Source organism: Homo sapiens, chromosome 2 (genome assembly GCF_000001405.40).
Source record: "Homo sapiens chromosome 2, GRCh38.p14 Primary Assembly".
Taxonomy (NCBI): domain Eukaryota; kingdom Metazoa; phylum Chordata; class Mammalia; order Primates; family Hominidae; genus Homo; species Homo sapiens.
In genome coordinates, this window is record NC_000002.12 from 55,615,581 (window position 1) to 55,633,140 (window position 17,560).

At 44.0% G+C, this 17,560-nt stretch overlaps 1 protein-coding gene and 1 long non-coding RNA gene across 21 annotated transcripts in view, besides 5 other annotated features; one reads left to right on the top strand and one right to left on the bottom strand.

Annotated features, from left to right (window-relative positions):
• PPP4R3B (protein phosphatase 4 regulatory subunit 3B) overlaps window positions 1-2,042 on the bottom strand; it is a 70,331-nt gene extending 68,289 nt beyond the window's left edge. For all 17 annotated transcript variants that reach the window (XM_017004536.3, XM_017004535.3, XM_017004534.3 and 14 more), the window contains exon 1: window positions 1,564-2,042. In XM_017004536.3, coding sequence (XP_016860025.1) covers window positions 1,564-1,705 — 142 coding nt within the window. In that variant the 5' untranslated portion in view covers window positions 1,706-2,042. The remainder of the gene's footprint in view (window positions 1-1,563) is intronic.
• Window positions 998-1,924: an enhancer, noted in NCBI's record as "NANOG-H3K27ac-H3K4me1 hESC enhancer chr2:55843714-55844639 (GRCh37/hg19 assembly coordinates)". NCBI's record gives its function as "activates a minimal SCP1, AML or CMV promoter by ChIP-STARR-seq in naive H9 embryonic stem cells {active_cell/tissue: H9 hESC(naive)}" and the evidence as "EXISTENCE:reporter gene assay evidence [ECO:0000049][PMID:30033119]".
• Window positions 1,925-2,849: an enhancer, noted in NCBI's record as "NANOG-H3K27ac-H3K4me1 hESC enhancer chr2:55844640-55845564 (GRCh37/hg19 assembly coordinates)". NCBI's record gives its function as "activates a minimal SCP1, AML or CMV promoter by ChIP-STARR-seq in naive H9 embryonic stem cells {active_cell/tissue: H9 hESC(naive)}" and the evidence as "EXISTENCE:reporter gene assay evidence [ECO:0000049][PMID:30033119]".
• Window positions 1,943-2,342: an enhancer, noted in NCBI's record as "active region_15783". NCBI's record gives its function as "activates an Ori minimal core promoter by ATAC-STARR-seq in GM12878 lymphoblastoid cells {active_cell/tissue: GM12878}" and the evidence as "EXISTENCE:reporter gene assay evidence [ECO:0000049][PMID:35858748]".
• Window positions 2,350-17,321, top strand: PPP4R3B-DT (PPP4R3B divergent transcript). Of its 4 annotated transcripts, NR_186624.1 has the most exons (3): window positions 2,350-2,802; window positions 15,062-15,138; window positions 16,400-17,321. It is a non-coding gene; the product is annotated as a PPP4R3B divergent transcript (long non-coding RNA). The 4 variants fall into 4 exon arrangements; NR_186623.1 differs by lacking the exon at window positions 15,062-15,138; NR_186622.1 differs by lacking the exon at window positions 16,400-17,321 and having other exon boundaries at window positions 15,062-15,860.
• Window positions 2,363-2,412: an enhancer, noted in NCBI's record as "active region_15784". NCBI's record gives its function as "activates an Ori minimal core promoter by ATAC-STARR-seq in GM12878 lymphoblastoid cells {active_cell/tissue: GM12878}" and the evidence as "EXISTENCE:reporter gene assay evidence [ECO:0000049][PMID:35858748]".
• Window positions 4,858-4,907: a silencer, noted in NCBI's record as "silent region_11500". NCBI's record gives its function as "represses an Ori minimal core promoter by ATAC-STARR-seq in GM12878 lymphoblastoid cells {active_cell/tissue: GM12878}" and the evidence as "EXISTENCE:reporter gene assay evidence [ECO:0000049][PMID:35858748]".

Consider the following 17,560-nt stretch of genomic DNA (forward strand, 5'->3'; position numbering starts at 1 on the left):
GCCGGGCGCAGTGGCTCACGTCTGTAATCCTAGCACTTTGGGAGGCGGGCAGATCACGAGGTCAAGAGATCCAGACCATTCCAGCCAACATGGTGAAACCGTCTCTACTAAAAATACAAAAATTAGCTGGGCGTGGTGGCGCATGCCTGTAGTCCCAGGTACACGGGAGGGTGGGGCAGGAGAATCGCTTGAGAGAGAGGGAGAGGAGGCAGAGGTTGCAGTAGCCCAGATCGCGCCATTGAACTCCAGCCTGGCAACAGAGCAAGACTCTGTCTCCAAAAAAAAAAAAAAAAAAAAAAAAATACACATTTAAACCCCGCCCCCCGCCCCCGCAAACTTTTCAAGTCTTTTTACCGAGTTGGACATCTTAATAAAATGTATTCGAATTCACATTTTCTCTCCAAATCTAGGCTTCACATTTAATCTAAAATATTTCACCCTATTCCCATACACCCTTAAAGGAAAAATTAATCTAAAACCAACAATCAAACCAAGGAATGAGGAGACTAGATGACTATTAAAATTTTATTGAAATAAAAATTTTAAGGTCTAAATGACCACTTCAAGCCATTCGTTTTAACAAAAGTTGTTTTATTGCATTCCCAGTTTAACAAATAATGCAAATTACAAAACAAAAACATCATGACAGGGATTAAATACTTAGTATAGAAATTACAGTGCTGCATTTATCCTTTCCTCATTAAGAACAAAAGAACACCTTCTGTAGAAGTGATGACTATTTAAAATAAAAGGGAACAAGCAAGAATACAAAATATGTCAAGACTAAACCTAAGATTATTTTTCTAACTGCCTATATCAGTTGTTCAAATCAAGTCCAGATTATACTATAAAAGGCATTTTAATTACGGCTCTACATTTTGTAATTTAAAATACTTCACATGACTACAATAAACCAAAGAACACAGCAGTTTACAACCTGCTTTGGTGTCCCAACTTGCTTAGATTGTAAGGCATTCACTTTCTCATAGCGCCTTCTACAAAGGCAGCCCGAAGAAATGCAGACTACAGATGTATGTGCTTGTGTGTCCATGTATCGTGGCAACAGTCAGCAATACAGCCAGGAAAACGTGCCTTTCGGTTTTCCCCAGCACCTGTCGACTGTGGCACCTGGGGCCCGTTGGTACAATTTTTTTTTTTTAAAAACACTCGGAAAGAAAAGTTTCCCTAAACCGTTTGTACTAGACGTATAATGGATAAGTAAATAAAGGGGGAGGAAGGTGTCAGCTCCTAGGGCGACATCAGTACCTAGTCTCTCACTACTTCCTCCCTTCTCTCTCACACTCTCCCCTCTTCAAAAGAGGAGGGACTGGAAAGGAAGGAGTCCAATCCTTAAGAGAGATGGGAGAAGGACAGAGAGTCTCGGTCTCCGAGGATAAGTCCAGTCAAAAGTACAGTACTTTGTTTTTGCCGTACACAAGAGCCAGTTCAGAACCAACGCGCTGTCCCGAAGGAGTAGCAACGGTAACGGGCCCAGGGCCCTAAACCCAAGCTGTGCCCCAACCAGAGGCACTATCCCCTATTCTACAGTTCCGATAACCTTACCGTCGGACTCTGCCCGAACCAGCAGCGACATCCCCTTGAGCTCCTCCACGTAAGTGGAGGAGACGTGCCCGGTGCCTCGGTCGTCCCATTGCCGGTCTTCGTTCAGGGTATAGACCTTCACTCGCCGCCGCGTATCCGACATGGTGGCTGCTGTCTCCACCGCTCTAGCCGCCGCCTCCTCGCTTACCTCGTCCGCGCTCCTCACTCTTAGGAGACGGTAAAGGCAGTAGTGGCGGTGGCGGCGGCGGCGGCTTCGGAGAGGCCCGAATTCACCATGGCTCCAAAGGTTCAGCCGCGAGAAGGGGTGACAAGAGCCACTGAGGCCTCTCCGCCCGGAGGCCCCGTTACCTCTCACTTCACCCGCGCATACACCCACTCTCCCGTCTCTTTGCCCCCCAGGGCTCGCTTGCTCTCCCGCCGCCGCGGTAACTACTACAGATCCGCCATCTTGTAACCCGACTCTCTCTGCCTTTCTCTTCCTCCTCCAGCAGGCTCGCACGGGCTGTCCTAGCAGGGGCTACGGCGGCCGACAAGTCCCATGAGCAGCACCTCCGCTTCTGCACGCGCTTCCCAGGCCGGAATGCTCGGCGCTCTCGCGAGGAGGGGTACCGACTGGGGCGGGAGTACTTCGGCGAGACTTCCTCCTCTTTCGGCCCGACTTCCTCCTCTTTCGGCCCCGCCTCTTGGCGCGGGGTCGCAATTGGGCGGGAGGTTCTCGCGATCTCCCCGTCCACGCCTGCGCCGCGAGAGGCCGCTAGGTGGAAGGGGACTTCGGTTCCGCACGTCGTCATGTTGTTGGATGGCACCAGTATGTGACGTTCCTAGGAACTTAGCTCTGAGGAAAAAACAAAGCAAACCGGGGAAGTACGTAGCCTTGAACCGGAGTAACCAGGGACAGAAAGGAAGGAAAAGGGTTTCATACCTTCACGGAACGACGCTCACTTCGTCCGCCTGAGGAGGAAAAATAAGTTTAAACCTTTCTGTGAAAAAGAACGTGGAGCCCTTTCTGCCGAATGGAAACCCGCTAAACCCCGTTATGGAGTCTGCTACAATTAAGCATCTAACCAGGAATTGTCTATGGACACAACTCTCCAGGCAATTCATGCAGAAAGTGTGTTGACGATTTCCTGTTTCTTGCAGAGCGCTTCACCGTTAAGGCTCTTAGTAGCTGGCGATTGTAAAGCACATTTTCCGCTTCATGAAAATACAGTGCTCTTCTTGTGTTTGTAACCTTGGAAAGTAAGTCTGCTATGATAAGTTTAGGGAAGTGGCGGGGAGCTACTTTCCTAACATATCTGTGATTGTTTTGATACTTCTCAGTTTCTCGCGGGCATTTCCTGCGTTCTCTATAGGGCTCTCTTGCACTGAATAAGGAAAGGAGGAATTCTCTCTGCATTGAGGCTATTATCGCACATTGTGCGGTGGATATAGTCACGCGCTGGGTCGTAGTAGCGTGTCGTTTATTTCAGTCCAGCTCACTCTTGGTAGAATCCCTTTATTCGTTTTGTTGTTTTTGATAGTCTCTCTCTGCTTCCCAGGCTAGAGTGCAATGGCGCTATCTCGACTCACTGTAGCCTCCGCCTTGAGGGCTCAAGCGATCCTCTCACCTCAGCCTCCCGAGTAGCTGGGACCGTAGACGCCTGCTCCCCATCCCCGCTATATTCGTTCTTTAATACAGTCTCTCAGCTTGTTCAGCTGCCACTTCTGTGCAGCTCATTAGCCTGATCGGTGAAAACTAGGCGAGACGCGCACACTGACCCTGCAGTGCATCTTGGGAGTTGTAGTCATAACTAATCAATGGTCTTGTTAAAACGTGCTTATGTTTTGACCAGATCGCTTAAGTGTGGACACCCTTCAGCAGTACACTACAACGTGGGTCAGTGTACAGAACACATGCTGATAGAAATAATTTCAAAATCTGGATTCATAGTTTTTTTTTTTAATCTAGAGACCTCAGAAAATGTACTTGAAGAAAATCATCATAATATAATACATAACAATAGAGCCAATTAATTGATGTGATGAAAGTGGACAAAATGTATTTTGACCTCAGAGAAAATAACATTTCTGTCTTGGAAGAGTCAGAGAATGCTTCACACAATTTTTGAGCCTGATGTTAGACTCTCCAGCCTTCTGTCCAAGCCTCACCCTTTGGTTACTCCCCAGGAAGACTGAACTTGGGAAGAGGATTGTGCAGACCCTGGAGTCAGGCTTGGCGTTTGGGATAGGGAATACTAGAGTGCCCACAGCATGGTCTGGAAAAGGGAAAGTGGGCTGCAGGTGGCTACAGTCCCATGATTCCATGGATTTCAGACCCCTCCAAAGCACAGGGCTCAGTGCTTATCCAAGTCTGAGGGCCCCCCATAACCACATCTTCCCCAGCAGATGTTCTTTGCTTCAGGCAGTCATCAAAGTTCCACTTCAAAGAGTTGCTAACCAAATAAGCCCACAATCTTCCTTTTTTGTTGTTTTGAATAAGTAATGCCTTTACACATATGAAATTAAAAAGAGAGGCCGGGCATGGTGGCTCACGCCTGTAATCCCAGCACTTTGGGAGGGCGAGGTGGGCAGATTGCCCGAGGTCAGGAGATCCAGACCAGCCAGGCCAACGTGGTGAAACCCTGTCTCTGCTAAAAATACAAAAATCAGCTGGGCGTGGTGGTGGGGGCCTGTAATCCCAGCTACTTGGGAGGCCGAGGTAGGAGAATCGCTTCAACCTGGGAGGCAGAGGTTGCAGTGAGCCAAGATTGCACCACTGCACTCCAGCCTGGGGGACAGTGTGACAGACTGTCTCAAAAAAAAAAAAAAAAAAAAAGGCAAAGATATATAGTGAAAACTAAGTCTTCTTTTAGTCTTTGTCTCCTGCCACTCATAGAATTTTCCTCTTGGAATCACCTCTATTCCATTTTCCTGTGTATGTTGCCAGAGCAGGGCTGGCTTCATGGTGGTGACCTGTACAGATAGGCACTTGGTTTAATGTTTTGCTGTCACTAACTTGAAATTCAGGAAAGTTTCTGGACAAGGGCCCTGCGGTTTTATTTTGCACTGGGCCCACAAAGTATGTATCTAGTCCTATTCCAGAGATATTCTATGCATATACAGGTAATTATATGTAGATATGTATGTAGTGGTCCAGTAGTGGTCCAGGGCCTGTTAGGAACTGGGCGGCACAGCAGAAGGTGAGTGGCAGGGGAGCCAGCATTTCGGCCTGAGCTCTGCCCCCTGTCAGATGAGCAGGGGCATTACATTCTGGTAGGAGTGAGAACCCTATTGTAAACTGCACATGCAAGGGATCTAACCTGTGCACTCCTTATGAGAATCCAACTCCCCCTTTCCATGGAAAAATTGTCTTCCACAAAACCAGTCCCTGGTGTCAAAAAGGTTGGGGACCTCTGTAGTAGGCTACCATCTAGGTTTGTTTAGGTACACTCTATGATGTTCACACAACAAAAAATCACCTGATGATGCATTTTTCAGAAAGCATCCCCATTGTTAAGGGACACATGACTGTAATGGAATACTATTCTTTTCCTTCCTTTTTATTTTTTGTGGAGACAGGGTCTCTACATGTTGGTGCCCAGGCTGGTCTCACACTCCTGAGCTTAAGGGATCTGCCTGCTTTGACCTCCCAAAGTGCTGGGATTACAAGTGTGAGCCACCATATCTGAACCCCTGTCCCCCACTTTTTTTTTCTTTCTTTTTTTCCATACACAGTCCAGGCTGGAGTGCAGAGGTGTCATCTCGGCTCACTGCAACCTCCGTCTCCCGGATTCTAACGATTCTCCTGCCTCATCCTCCTGAGTAGCTGGGATTATAGGTGTCCGCCACCACGCCCAGCTAATTTTTGTATTTTTAGTAGAGATGGGGTTTCACCATGTTGGTGAGGCTGGTCTCAAACTCTTGACCTCATGTGATCCACCTGCCTCAGCCTCCCAAAATACTGGGATTACAGGGGTGAGCCACCGTGCCCAGGACAGCCTTTTTTGGGTCAGTGTGTATATAGAGCTAACTCATTCTACTTAATGGCTACATAGTATCCCACTGTGATAGCCGCAAAAGGCAGACAAATCCTAGGCAGACAGGGGCAGGTCCCTGGTGAAACCCTTCAAGCTGAGGACAGTTTAAAGGCTAGCCACAAGACCAGGATAAATCCACAGACCAGATTGAGAACCTCTCTTCCCATTTGGCGTGCTTTCTTCTGATTGATCCCCACCCTTCACCTATTTTACACATATCCTTTCCTAATTGTTTTTTTACACTGTTGTACCTACCTTTGAGTGGTGCTGTTGTTTTAGCCTTTTTTGCATACTCACAAACCAATCAGCATGCACGCCTTCATTCTGAGCCCATAAAAGCTGTGGACTCAGCCGCACTGAGAGAGAGACCACCTGACTTTGAGTGAGGGACCACCCTTGCATCCTCTCTCTCCTGAGAGCTGTTTCATAGTTCAAATAAAACTCTTCTCCACCCTCCTCACCCTTTGATTGTCAGCGTAACCTCATTCTTGGACGCTGAAGAAAAATTCGGGACCCACCAAACGCAGATACAAAGAAGGCTGTACACACTGTGGCCCTTTGCCCTCTGCTGGTGGAGGGCAACCGTCCCACACAACGCGATGGGAAGCAGCAGTGGGGCAGAGCCAGTCCTGAAGCCACGGGCCTGAGTGGGGCAATGGGACTGATAGAGCTGTTAACATGCCACTGTCCGTTGGCCTGCAGACGGCAGAACTAAAAGAGTGCTTAGCATACTGTAACACCTCTGGGGCTTCAGGGTCATGAGCACCCCTGTTTGGGTGCCACCACATTTCCCTCAATGTGACACACCTGGTCCAGCCACAAGCCCCGCACAGAGCCCACTCCTGCCCTGTACTCGTTCACTCACACACCCCCTCCTGCCAGGGGCTGAGGCCATGGTGGCTGCAGGATTCGTGCCTGAGCACAAGCCAGACACATCCTGGTGGGCCGAGTAGTTGGGGTGTTGCTGGCCGGAGGTCTCCAGCTGTCAAAGTGGCCAAGAAAAATCCTGCATCAACTGTACAAATGTACCCTAATTTATTTAACTCATTTATTGTATATTTGTGTCATTTCCAATGGTTCGTAATTTCAAACATATGATTGTGCAAAAGTTGTTTTATGTGTGCCAATATCTTTGTAGGTTAATTTCCTAGAGCAAAGTTTTTCAACCTAAGCACCACTGACATCTGGGGCTGGATAATTTGTTGTGAGGGGCTGTCATGTGCGTTATACGATGTATCCTATCCACCCCTATATGTTATGAAAAATATTTCAGTGGCCAGAATCCTTTCAATGACTTAAAAAGCCCTTTTCATCCTGCTTCTGCCTACCTCTCCAGCTGCATCTTAGTACCCGCACACTCTTTTTTCATACTCATGCCCCTGCTTGCTGTCTTTGCACAGGTATTCTCTTTGTCTGGAGCTTTCTTCCTCACCAATCATCTCCTAATAACTCCCATTTTATCTTTTAAATGTTGCCACTATTATCACTTCCTTGGAGGAGCCTTCTTGGACTGCCTATTTCAAATCCCCTGGGTTTTTTTTTTTTCTTTGACAAAAGCCACATTCGAACAAATCCCCCTTGGAATGTTACAATTACCAAAAAATCCAATTTAAACTAGTTTAAATGATAAGAGAATTTATTGGCTCACATAAATGAGAAGTCTGAAGATAAGGTGAACCTCAGGTTGATTTGAGTGACTTAACAGTATCAGCAGGAACTTGATTTCCTTCTACCTCTCAATTTTCTTTCTGATGTCAGATTCATCCTAAGGCTTACTCCTTTTGTATCATAAAATGGTGGCCAGGATCTCCCAAGGTTATGTAGTTCTTTGTCCATATCAAAAGAGAGTTTCTTTCACATATTTCACAGTTTCAATGTGATTAAATTAATTTAGGTCACATGTCCGCCCCTAAACCTAGAGTTTTGTGGTCTAGAGAATGTCAAGCACTGATTGGCCAGGGCAAATCAAGGCCTATCCTTGGAACTGGAAGTTACGTTAATCCCACCTAAATCCCATGAATGTTACTCTATGAGGTATCGGTAAAATCGATGCTAGGAATACAATCAGAATCCATTATATCCTATTACACGCTTATAGCACCATGCACCCCTCCATTGTAGCACCTGTCATACTTGTAGCTTTATATTTATTTGTATGATTTCTGATTAATAACTGTCTTCTCATCCAGATGAAAAACCTCTATTAGTCCAGGGAACTGCATTTTTTCTCACCATTGTATCTCTAGTCTAGCACAGGGTGTCAAACATAGCAGGTTCTCAATAACTATTGAAAGAATGAAACTTCCCTTAGAAGTTTACTACTCAATTTGACATTCCCTTTAGCAGGCAATTTAATAGCTACCATATCAGACTTATATTACATATTTGAAAGTCCCAGACTGAGATCTCTAATTTCTATCTCCAGGCAGTCAGTTCTTGACACACCACTGAGTAAGATTCATGGAATAAATCTGACCATATTATATTCCCTTGACATCTTTCAAGTTCCTGATTTCTTTTAGGATAAAGTTCTTTATGATGCCATTCAAAGCTCTTCATGGTTTGGCCCCTATCTGGCTTTCTATTCTCAAGAGCAAAACTATAGACTTCTGGCCTTCTTCAGGGTGATCTTTCTCTTTCAATCATAGTCCCTCCCCAACCACTCACCAAATATCAGTTTTTAGAAGTCTTGTCTCTTGCAGGGAGTAGAGAGGGGGCAGTAATAGTTTATTCAGGGATTCCCCCATATCTTTCCTGGGTAAAGGTATTCTAGAAGGAGGCAGAGGAAGGAGGCTAGAGGTCCCACTGTTTGGCATTCAGGCTTTCACTTAATGCTCACTTTAGCCCTGCTTCACAGTCCCCTACTACCTACTGTGACTAATATTCTCAAGTCAAGAGTCTCTCCCATTCTAGAAAATAAATCAGGCTCCTGGGATGTGGTGATGGTGTTATAGGGGCATGTGTGGGTATGAGTGTGTGTGTATGTGTGTATGTGTGTGGGGTGGCAGTCCTTTGGTTATATGGGATTGGGGAATAGACCCAGGAATGTAGGTGTTCTTTATATAGGCTTTCACCCTTCCCTAAAATTTTCTGCCCTGATCCTTTCTAATTTTTTTGTGGAAAGAATTAGCTCTTTTAATTTATTTATTTTATTTTATTTTATTTCATTTTATTTTATTTTTTTGAGATGGAATCTTGCTCTGTTGCCCAGGCTGGAGTGCAGTGGTGTGATCTTGGCTCACTGTAACCTCTGCCTCCCAGGTTCAAGCGATTCTCCTGTCTCAGCCTACTGACTAGCTGGGACTACAGGCATGTACCACCATGCCAGGTTAATTTTTTGTATTTTTAGTAGAGACGGGCTTTCACCATGTTAGCCAGGATGGTCTCCATCTCCTGACCTCGTGATCTGCCTGCCTCAGCCTCCCAAAGTGCTGGGATTACAGACGTGAGCGACTGCGCCCGGCATCTTTTTATATTTTTAAAAGGTCACATGTATGTCCTTTCCTGTGAACTGTTTATATTCTTTGCCAAAGTGCTGGGATTACAGACATGAGCCACTGCACCTGGCCTTACCTCTTCTTTTTTTCTTTAATCACCTGTGGAGGCTTTTAGATTGTGCCTTTTGCTGTCAAGTCTACTACTACTCTTCCATCGGCTTGTCATACAACCATTTGTTGAAATTTCTTTTGTATTTTGTTTGCCTTTTGGGCTCTACACTTTTTAAAAATTTATTTAGCTGTCAAAGAGATGACATACTGTGTATGGTTAATTTTCCATGTATTCTGGAGTTCTAATATATTTTCATGGTTTTTAAATGTTTAGTTCTTTAATCAAGTTGGAATTTTTAAAATATATATGAAGTAGGATGCTAATTTAAAACTTTTCCTCCAAATGGATATCCATCCAGTTGTCTCAACATCATGTATAGAAAAAACAAATTGAAAATGCTATCTTATCATATTATTTACTAAATTTACATGCATATACATATACATACATAACATATATCTGAGTTTGAGTCTGAATTCACTACTGTTTCAATTGCTGTAGTTGGTCAATTCTAGTATGACAGAGTTTTAATTGCTACAGTTTTGGAATGATTATGGGGTTACTTTTGAGACAGGGTCTGGCTATCTTGCCCAGACTGGTCTCAAACTTACCGGCTCAAGCAATCCTCCCATCTCAGCCTCTTAAAGTGTTGGGATTATAGGTATGAACCACTGCACCTGGCCCTGGATTGCATTTTGACTGTGGCCATAGAAGTTTCCACTCAGATCTTCAAGAGAACCTACTCTGGGGACTACAAGTGACTGACAGCCAGCTGCCACCCCTTTGGAACTACCATGCATTCATGTCAATGCCACATATCTCTGGAGTCGCCCCCAGCTAGTGGCTGAGCACAGCAGGAGTACTAAACTTGTTCTTTCTTGCCCAGTGCAGAACTCCTCTAACGGGCAACTTTGGCTTGGGGAACTTCTCATCAGCCTGGATGAGACTATCTTAGAACTACAGTGTAGTCGAGGCTCTTTCTACCCAATATTTCCTTCTCTTCTTTTTACAGAAGTCAGACCTGCACCACAGTCTGAAGTCTCTCTGCCAATTCCTGAGCCTTCCCACTTTATCCTTCACAAACATTTCCCCCAATAAATATCTTGCATGTCTAATCCCTTCTTGGCATCTGCTTCTCTGAGGACCAGAACAGACAGGTGGTTTACCAAGTGGTGCAAGAAAACAGATAGTAAGATGGGTTTTGGGCAATGGCTTACTTGGTCCCTGGCACAAAGCAGCCATCTGAGTCCTGATTTAGCCAGCAGTGACCTAGGAAAACATCCCAGAGAAGGGAAATCCTCTTGCTCGTGCAATTTAGGCATTTAAAAGATATGGGGAATACGATGCCTACAAAGAAAGCAGAGCTGGCCAACTGTTACTAAGACAAGTAATGCCTTGCAGATGGATAATGAGAAACCGAGAGCACTTAAACAGTTAAAGGCTAAGTGTGGGAGCCGGGGGCTTCTCTGGAGCTTAACAAACTTTTATTTCCTGCAGTGGAAGAGCAGAAATGGGATTGGATGGTCACAGAGCTCTAAAGATATTTGAATGCTCAGCCTAGGGAGATCCAGTATGTAGTCAGGGCGCTGGTTGGGGAAACCAGCCTGAAGCTTTGAAACATGGAATGGGTGCCCCTGAGGATTTTGGCTCTGTAGATACCTCTGGACACTCAAGAGCTTACAGAACTGGCTCATACTTCCTAGTAAGAGCAAGCACTTCCCTCATTACAGAAAGACCTCTTCCATAATTGTTCTCAGTTTTTCTCCTGGCTGCCAAGCCATGGTAACTGGAGTTAACATCTCAGCATAATCTGCCTAGGAACTGCTGGCCCTGATAAGAAAGGAAAGATTACACACCGAAGGAATTGAAATAAGTTACCATGACTATCAGGAGCCAGAGAAGTATACTTAGGATTGGATTTTAAGGGTGTTCAATTAAGGGGGCTGGAATTTAAGACAACATAAGCAAGACTTCATGGACTTGGGGTACTTTTTTGGGACAGATTTAACCTCAGCAAGTAGTCCCGAGGTTAGCTTTTCAAAGCCTGGAAAAGGTGATGGCTTTGAAAAAGTGGAAATGAATTCACACCATGGCAGCTTTTAACTTGAGGAGAAGATAGCTATTTATTTTGGCATATTTATGTGGTTACTGCTCACTTACTAGTCCCAATTGTTTTGTAACCACTTTTTATTTATTTTTTGAGATAGTCTCATTCTGTTTTCTAGACTGGAGTACAGTGGTGCAATCTTGGCTCATTGCAACCTCTACCTCTTGGGCTTAAGCCATCCTCCCACCTCAGCCTCCTAATTTTTGCATTTTTTGCAGAGATGGGGTTTCCCCATGTCACCCAGGCTGGTCTTGAACTCCTGGACTCAAGTCATCTGCCCATTTTGGCCTCCCAAAGTGCTGGGATTACAGGCGTGAGCCACCACATCGGGACTGTTTTTTTTGTTTTTTGAGATGGAGTCTTGCTCTTGTTGCCAAGGCTGGAGTACAATAGCACCATCTCAGCTTACTCCAACCTCCACCTCCCGGGTTCAAGCAATTCTCCTGCCTCAGCCTCCCGAGTAGCTGGGATTACAGGCACCTGCCACTACACTTGGCTAATTTTTATATTTTTAGCAGAGACGGGTTTTCGCCATGTTGGCCAGGCTGGTCTCAAACTCCTGACTTTGTGATCCGCCCACCTCGGCCACCCAAAGTGCTGGGATTACAGGTTTTAGCCACCATGCCCGGCCACCTGGCCTGTTTTATACCAATTTAAAGTGTTTTTTTAGGCTTCACATGGTGGTTCATGCCTGTAATCCCAGCACTCTGGAAGGCCAAGGTGGGAGGATCGCTTGAGCCCAGGAGTTTGAGATCAGCACCTGGGCAACAGAGCGAGACCTCACCTCTACTAAAAATTAAAAAAAAAAAAAAAATTAACCAGGCATGGTAGTCCATACCTGTAGTACCAGCTACTTGGGAGGCTGAGGCAGGAGGATCCCTTGAGCCTAGGAGTTCAAGGTTGCAGTAAGCTATGATTATGTCACTGCACTCCAGCCTGAGTGACAGTAAGACCCTGTCTAAAAAATAAATAGTGGTTTTTAGATGATCATCTGCAAATATTTTTGTTCTTTCCCTGTATCCCTTTTTAATCTCATCACATTGATTAGGACATCCAGAACACTGGTGATTCTTGTTTTGTTCCTGACTTTAATGGCCATGTTTCCAGTGTTGTATACATGTTCCTAATTTTTGATACATACCACTTGTGACGTTAAGGACATTTCCTGATATTCTAAACTCTCTAGGAAATGGATATTGAATTATTAAAAAAAAAAGTCTCTTTTTAGCCTGGGCAACATAGTGAGACCCAGTCTCTAAAAGAACAACAACAGCAAAAAATTTGCTGGCATGCTGGTGCATGCTGGCAGTCCCAGCACCTCAGCAGGCTGAGGCAGGAGGATCACTTCAGCCCAGGAGTTTGAGGCTACAGTGAACTATGATCCTGCCACTGCACTCCAGCCTGGGCAACAGAGCAAGACCCTGTCTCCAAAAAAAAAAAAAAAAAAAAAAGAAAAACAGGACCATTTTTTGCATCTGGTGACCATATGGTTTTCTCTTAATATTATGACAATTTATAACTGTTCTCATAAATGATAATGATCTATAAATTTTTATGTTTGCTTTTTTTTAATCATCTCTTCTAGGTTATGAGTCCTAGGCAATTGCATTAAATTTTATAACCATAGTATTAAAAAAACTATTTATAGTCAACAACTCAAGTTTGGTTTTCATGAAACACTGGGTATTTTTCAATGCTTCCCATCCCATGCAGGATAAAGTCAGAGTACTAAATCTCATATTCTAAACTCCCACACAATCTGACGTCTATTTACTGGCTTCTTCATCCATTAATAAAACTGTTCCTTCTCCACAAAGTGCCTTTCCCTTTATAATCGTCCTTTAAAGCCCAGCTCAAATACTAACTCTCTATATTGAAATCCAGTTCAAATTCCACTTCTTAGAAACCTTCATTTTTCCTTCTAGTTTACCTCTTCTCTTTTTATAGCATGACTTTTTAAAAACTTTCATTATAGTGCTCACCAACCTGCCTTTCATTAATTAGTAACTCTGTATTAGACTATATTTAAGTCCCTGAAGGAAACAAACTATTCCATAGCAGAGTACTGTGCTCCTAATAGGTAGTTTTAAAGTTTTTATTACATTAAAATTAATTTTGTAAATTTCTGTTATATTGAAGCCTCTTGCAATGATCTGAGATATGCTTTAGATGGCAAAACTGAGGTTGCTTTAAATATTACCTTTACAAAAGTCACTTATTACCAAATTGCCTTTTAGACCATTTTACCTGTCTGTTGGTTGATGACTTCATACTCATATTTAATGAGTCAGACATCTCTCTCTTTTTTGAGACACAGTCTGGCTCTGTTGCCCAGGCTGGAGTACAGTGGGACAATCATAGCTCACTGCAGCCTTGAATTACCGGGCCCAAGTGATCCTCCTACCTGAGCCCTCAGCCTCCCAAGTAGCTGAGATTACAGGTGCGCACCACCATGCCAGGCTAATTTTTTTATTTTCTGTAGAACAAGGTGTGACCATTTGGCCCAAGCTGGTACTGAACTCCTGGGCTCATGTGATCCACCCACCTTGGCCTCTCAAAGTGCTGGGATTACAAGCCACCACACCCAGGCCATCTTTAAACTATTTAAAACTATTTAAACTCTTTAAAACTATTTTGTCCATTGGCCAGGTATGGTGGCTGACGCCTGTAATCCCAGCACTTTGGAGGCTGAGGCGGGCAGATCACAAGGTCAACAGATTGAGACCATCCTGGCCAACATGGTGAAACCCCGTCTCTACTAAAAATACAAAAATTAGCTGGGAATGGTGGCGTGCAGCTGTAATCCCAGCTACTCGGGAGGCTGAGGCAGGAGAATCGCTTGAACCTGGGAGGCGGAGGTTGCAGTGAGCCGAGATCACACCACTGCACTCCAGCCTGGCAACAGAGCGAGACTCCATCTCAAAAACAAAAACAACCCTATTTTGTCCCTTTTAGTTTCTATTTATGTAACAGATCCTATTGTCCTCACAATCCTCAGCCTGAAATCCTTAGTCATAACTGCCGCTCTCTTCCCTCCACTTGCCACTCACTCCCCATTTTATCTGGGTTAAGTCCATCCATTATCCCTTATATTTGCTCTGCAACATCTTGGTATGTGCCCAGCCCACTTTTTCTGAATACACTCTCTTCTCAGAAGTGAGCTCTTGGTAATTTTCTGACCAGTTGCTTATACCAGGTTTAGGGTTACCAGATTTAGCAAATAAAAATATAGACAATTGTCTGACCAGTTGCTTATATCTGGCTTATGGGTACCAGACTTAGCAAATAAAAATATAGGACATTCAGTTAAATTATTTGAACTTCAGATAAACAAGGAATAATCTTTTAGTGTTACATGGGACCTACACTGAACATCTGTTTATCTGTAATTCCAATTTAATTTGGCATCATTATTTTATCTGGCAATCTCAGTCAGGTTTAACACCTTTCCCAAGCTGAGCTTGTCATTTCCTCCAAAAGAACACAAACCTATAAAGGACAGGTAACGTCCTGTGGGACAGCCATCCTTTGCCCTATGCTGAGAAAACAGGTTTGCAGAGAATAAAAACGAACAAATAAATAAACATTTAAAAAAGCAGTTGTGTGGAAAGAAGCACAAAAGAGAGGCCATGAGACTCCATAATTAAGCAGAGATGAACTGCCCTAGTTCTTAATGGCTTGTTAGTCCTCATTCCAGTCTTCCACAGGGTGTGACTTGGCTTCCATAAAATAAACTCACGGTCCCATGATCATTTTCCCTCTTTGCTTTAGCAAGAATCTTTAACTAAAACAACTCTCTTTTCATTTCCACTGTCTACCACTCTAGTCTCAACTCTCATGAGTCTGGAATTTTGCAAAAGCCTGATAAACTTGTCACATGATTCCAGTGTCTACCCATTCCTTGTAAGTAACCAAGATATTCTTGCCTGATTAAATGCTTTGAAAATATCATCTTAGGCCAGGCGCAGTGGCTCACACCTGTAAGCCCAACACTTTGGGAGGCTGAGGTGGGCGGATCACTTGATGTCATGAGTTCGAGACCAGCCTGGCCAATATGGTGTAACCCCGTCTCTACTAAAAATACAAAACTTAGCTGGGTGTAGTGGCGGGCGCCTGTAGTCCCAGCTACTCGGGAGGCTGAGGCAGGAGAATAGCTTGGACCCGGGAGGTGGAGGTTGCAGGGAGGTGGAGGTTGCAGGGAGGTGGAGGTTGCAGTGAGCTGAGATCACGCCACTGTGCTACAGCCTGGGCGACACAGTGAGACTCCGTCTCAAAAAAAGAAAAAAAAAAAAATATCATATTGTATTGGCCATCCCTTGTTTCATATTCGTTAATAAACTTTGCTACTTTGCTTTCTAATTTCGGTGAAGAACAAGCACAAGATTAAGGAGTAAGACTATGTGAAACTGGGTTATAAATTGAAAGGCTGTTGGCTGTTGTATCTTGTAAACAATTCAACGCAATGCCAAGTGAAAATGAAGTTGTTAGTCCCTCTATCTAGAATTCTTTCCCAAATAGCTGCATATCTTTTTCCTCTGCTTCATTTAAGTCTGTGCTGAAATGTTATCTACTCAGAGAAGACATTCTGGATCATTTCATATTAAATAGTAACTTTTATCACTCTATCTCTTTATCTAGTTGTTTTTCTTTAAGGTACCTACCACTACCTGACATGTTGTACAGTTAAGTTCTTACTTAATGTCTTCGATAGGTTCTTGCAAACTGTAACTCTAAGATAAACTACATAAAATGAAACCAAATTTACCACAGGCTAATTGATATAAACAAGAGTTAAGATCCTATGGCACATTTCTGGTAAAAAAAAAAAATTACCAAACTTGCAAATAAAGACCAAAACATTTCTGATGTTAAACACTGAAGTAAATGTGAGCTAGACAACATTCAAGAAAGATGAATAAAACAAGATGATTTATCAAATTACAACAGTTCAGGGTTTTGGGTGGTTGGAGCCCATCCTGGCAGTTCAGGGTGCCAGGTGGGAAGTGATACTAGACAGGACAGCCATCACATTGCAGGGTGCACTCACACACACATCCACACTCACTCAGACTGGGCAACAAGAGCAAAACTCTGCCTCAAAACAAACAACAAACAAAATAAAATAAATTATCCAGACTCAGGTATTTCTTCTTTCTTTTTTGAGATGGAGTCTCCCTGTGTCACCCAGGCTGGAGTGCAGTGGCATGATCTCGGCTCACTGCAACCTCTGCCTCCCAGGTTCAAGCGATTCTCCTGCCTCAGCCTCCTGAGTAGCTGGGATTACAGGCGTGCACCACTATGGCCGGCTAACGTTTGTATTTTTTTTTCAGTAGAGACGGGGTTTCACCATGTTGGCCAGGCTGGTCTCGAACTCCTGACCTCAGGTGATCCACCTGCCTCAGCCTCCCAAAGTGTTGGGATTACAAGCATGAGCCACCGCATCCAACCTCAGGTATTTCTTTATAGCAATGCAAGAATGGACTAATATACTCCTGCAGACGTGGGAAAAAGTGCAGACTCCACACAGACGGTAAGCCTGGCCAGGAATCAATGTTTTGTTTCCTTCTCAACAACATTTTAATGCAAATGATGTTGAAAAAAAAGTTATTCAAGGACCTGCTGTATCGTAATTTGCTATCAATTTCCAAACTCTAGAATATGAGCATTGGAACTTTAGCTGTTTTGTCTGTTTTTGTTATTTTGAGATGGAGTCTTGCTCTGTTGCCCAGGCTGGAGTACAGTGGCACGATCTCGGCTCACTGTAACCTCTGCCTCCCGGGTTCAAGTGATTCTCCTGCCTCAGCCTCCCGAGTAGCTAGAACTACAGGCATGTGCCACCACGCTTGGCTAATTTTTGTATTTCTAGTAGAGACGGGGTTTCTCCATGTTGGCCAGGCTGTTCTCAAACTCCTGGCCTCAGGTGATCCACCCGCCTCAGCCTCCCTAAGTGCTGGGATTACAAGTGTGAGCCACCGTGCCCGGCCTAACTTAGGTCTTTTATTTACTGACACATCCCCTGCATACCTTATAATGCCTGGCACATGTTAAATGATGAATAAAAGAATGCTATGCTTGGCTGAACTGAACTAAGAAAGATATTCATGTTTTCATTTTAGATCCAAGAATGTAAGATATTCTGTAATAGAAGAAAAAATGATTATATAAAAACTGTACTGTGATAGAACAGTAACTTATGGAGTATGTGTGTTCCTGTATCAAAACAAAAGTCATGGGAAAAAAAGTCTTACTTTTAAGTACTTGTATTGAGCTAACCACCAAAGATGGCATTCAGTTTGATCTGAGTCACTATAAATTAGTGTTTCCA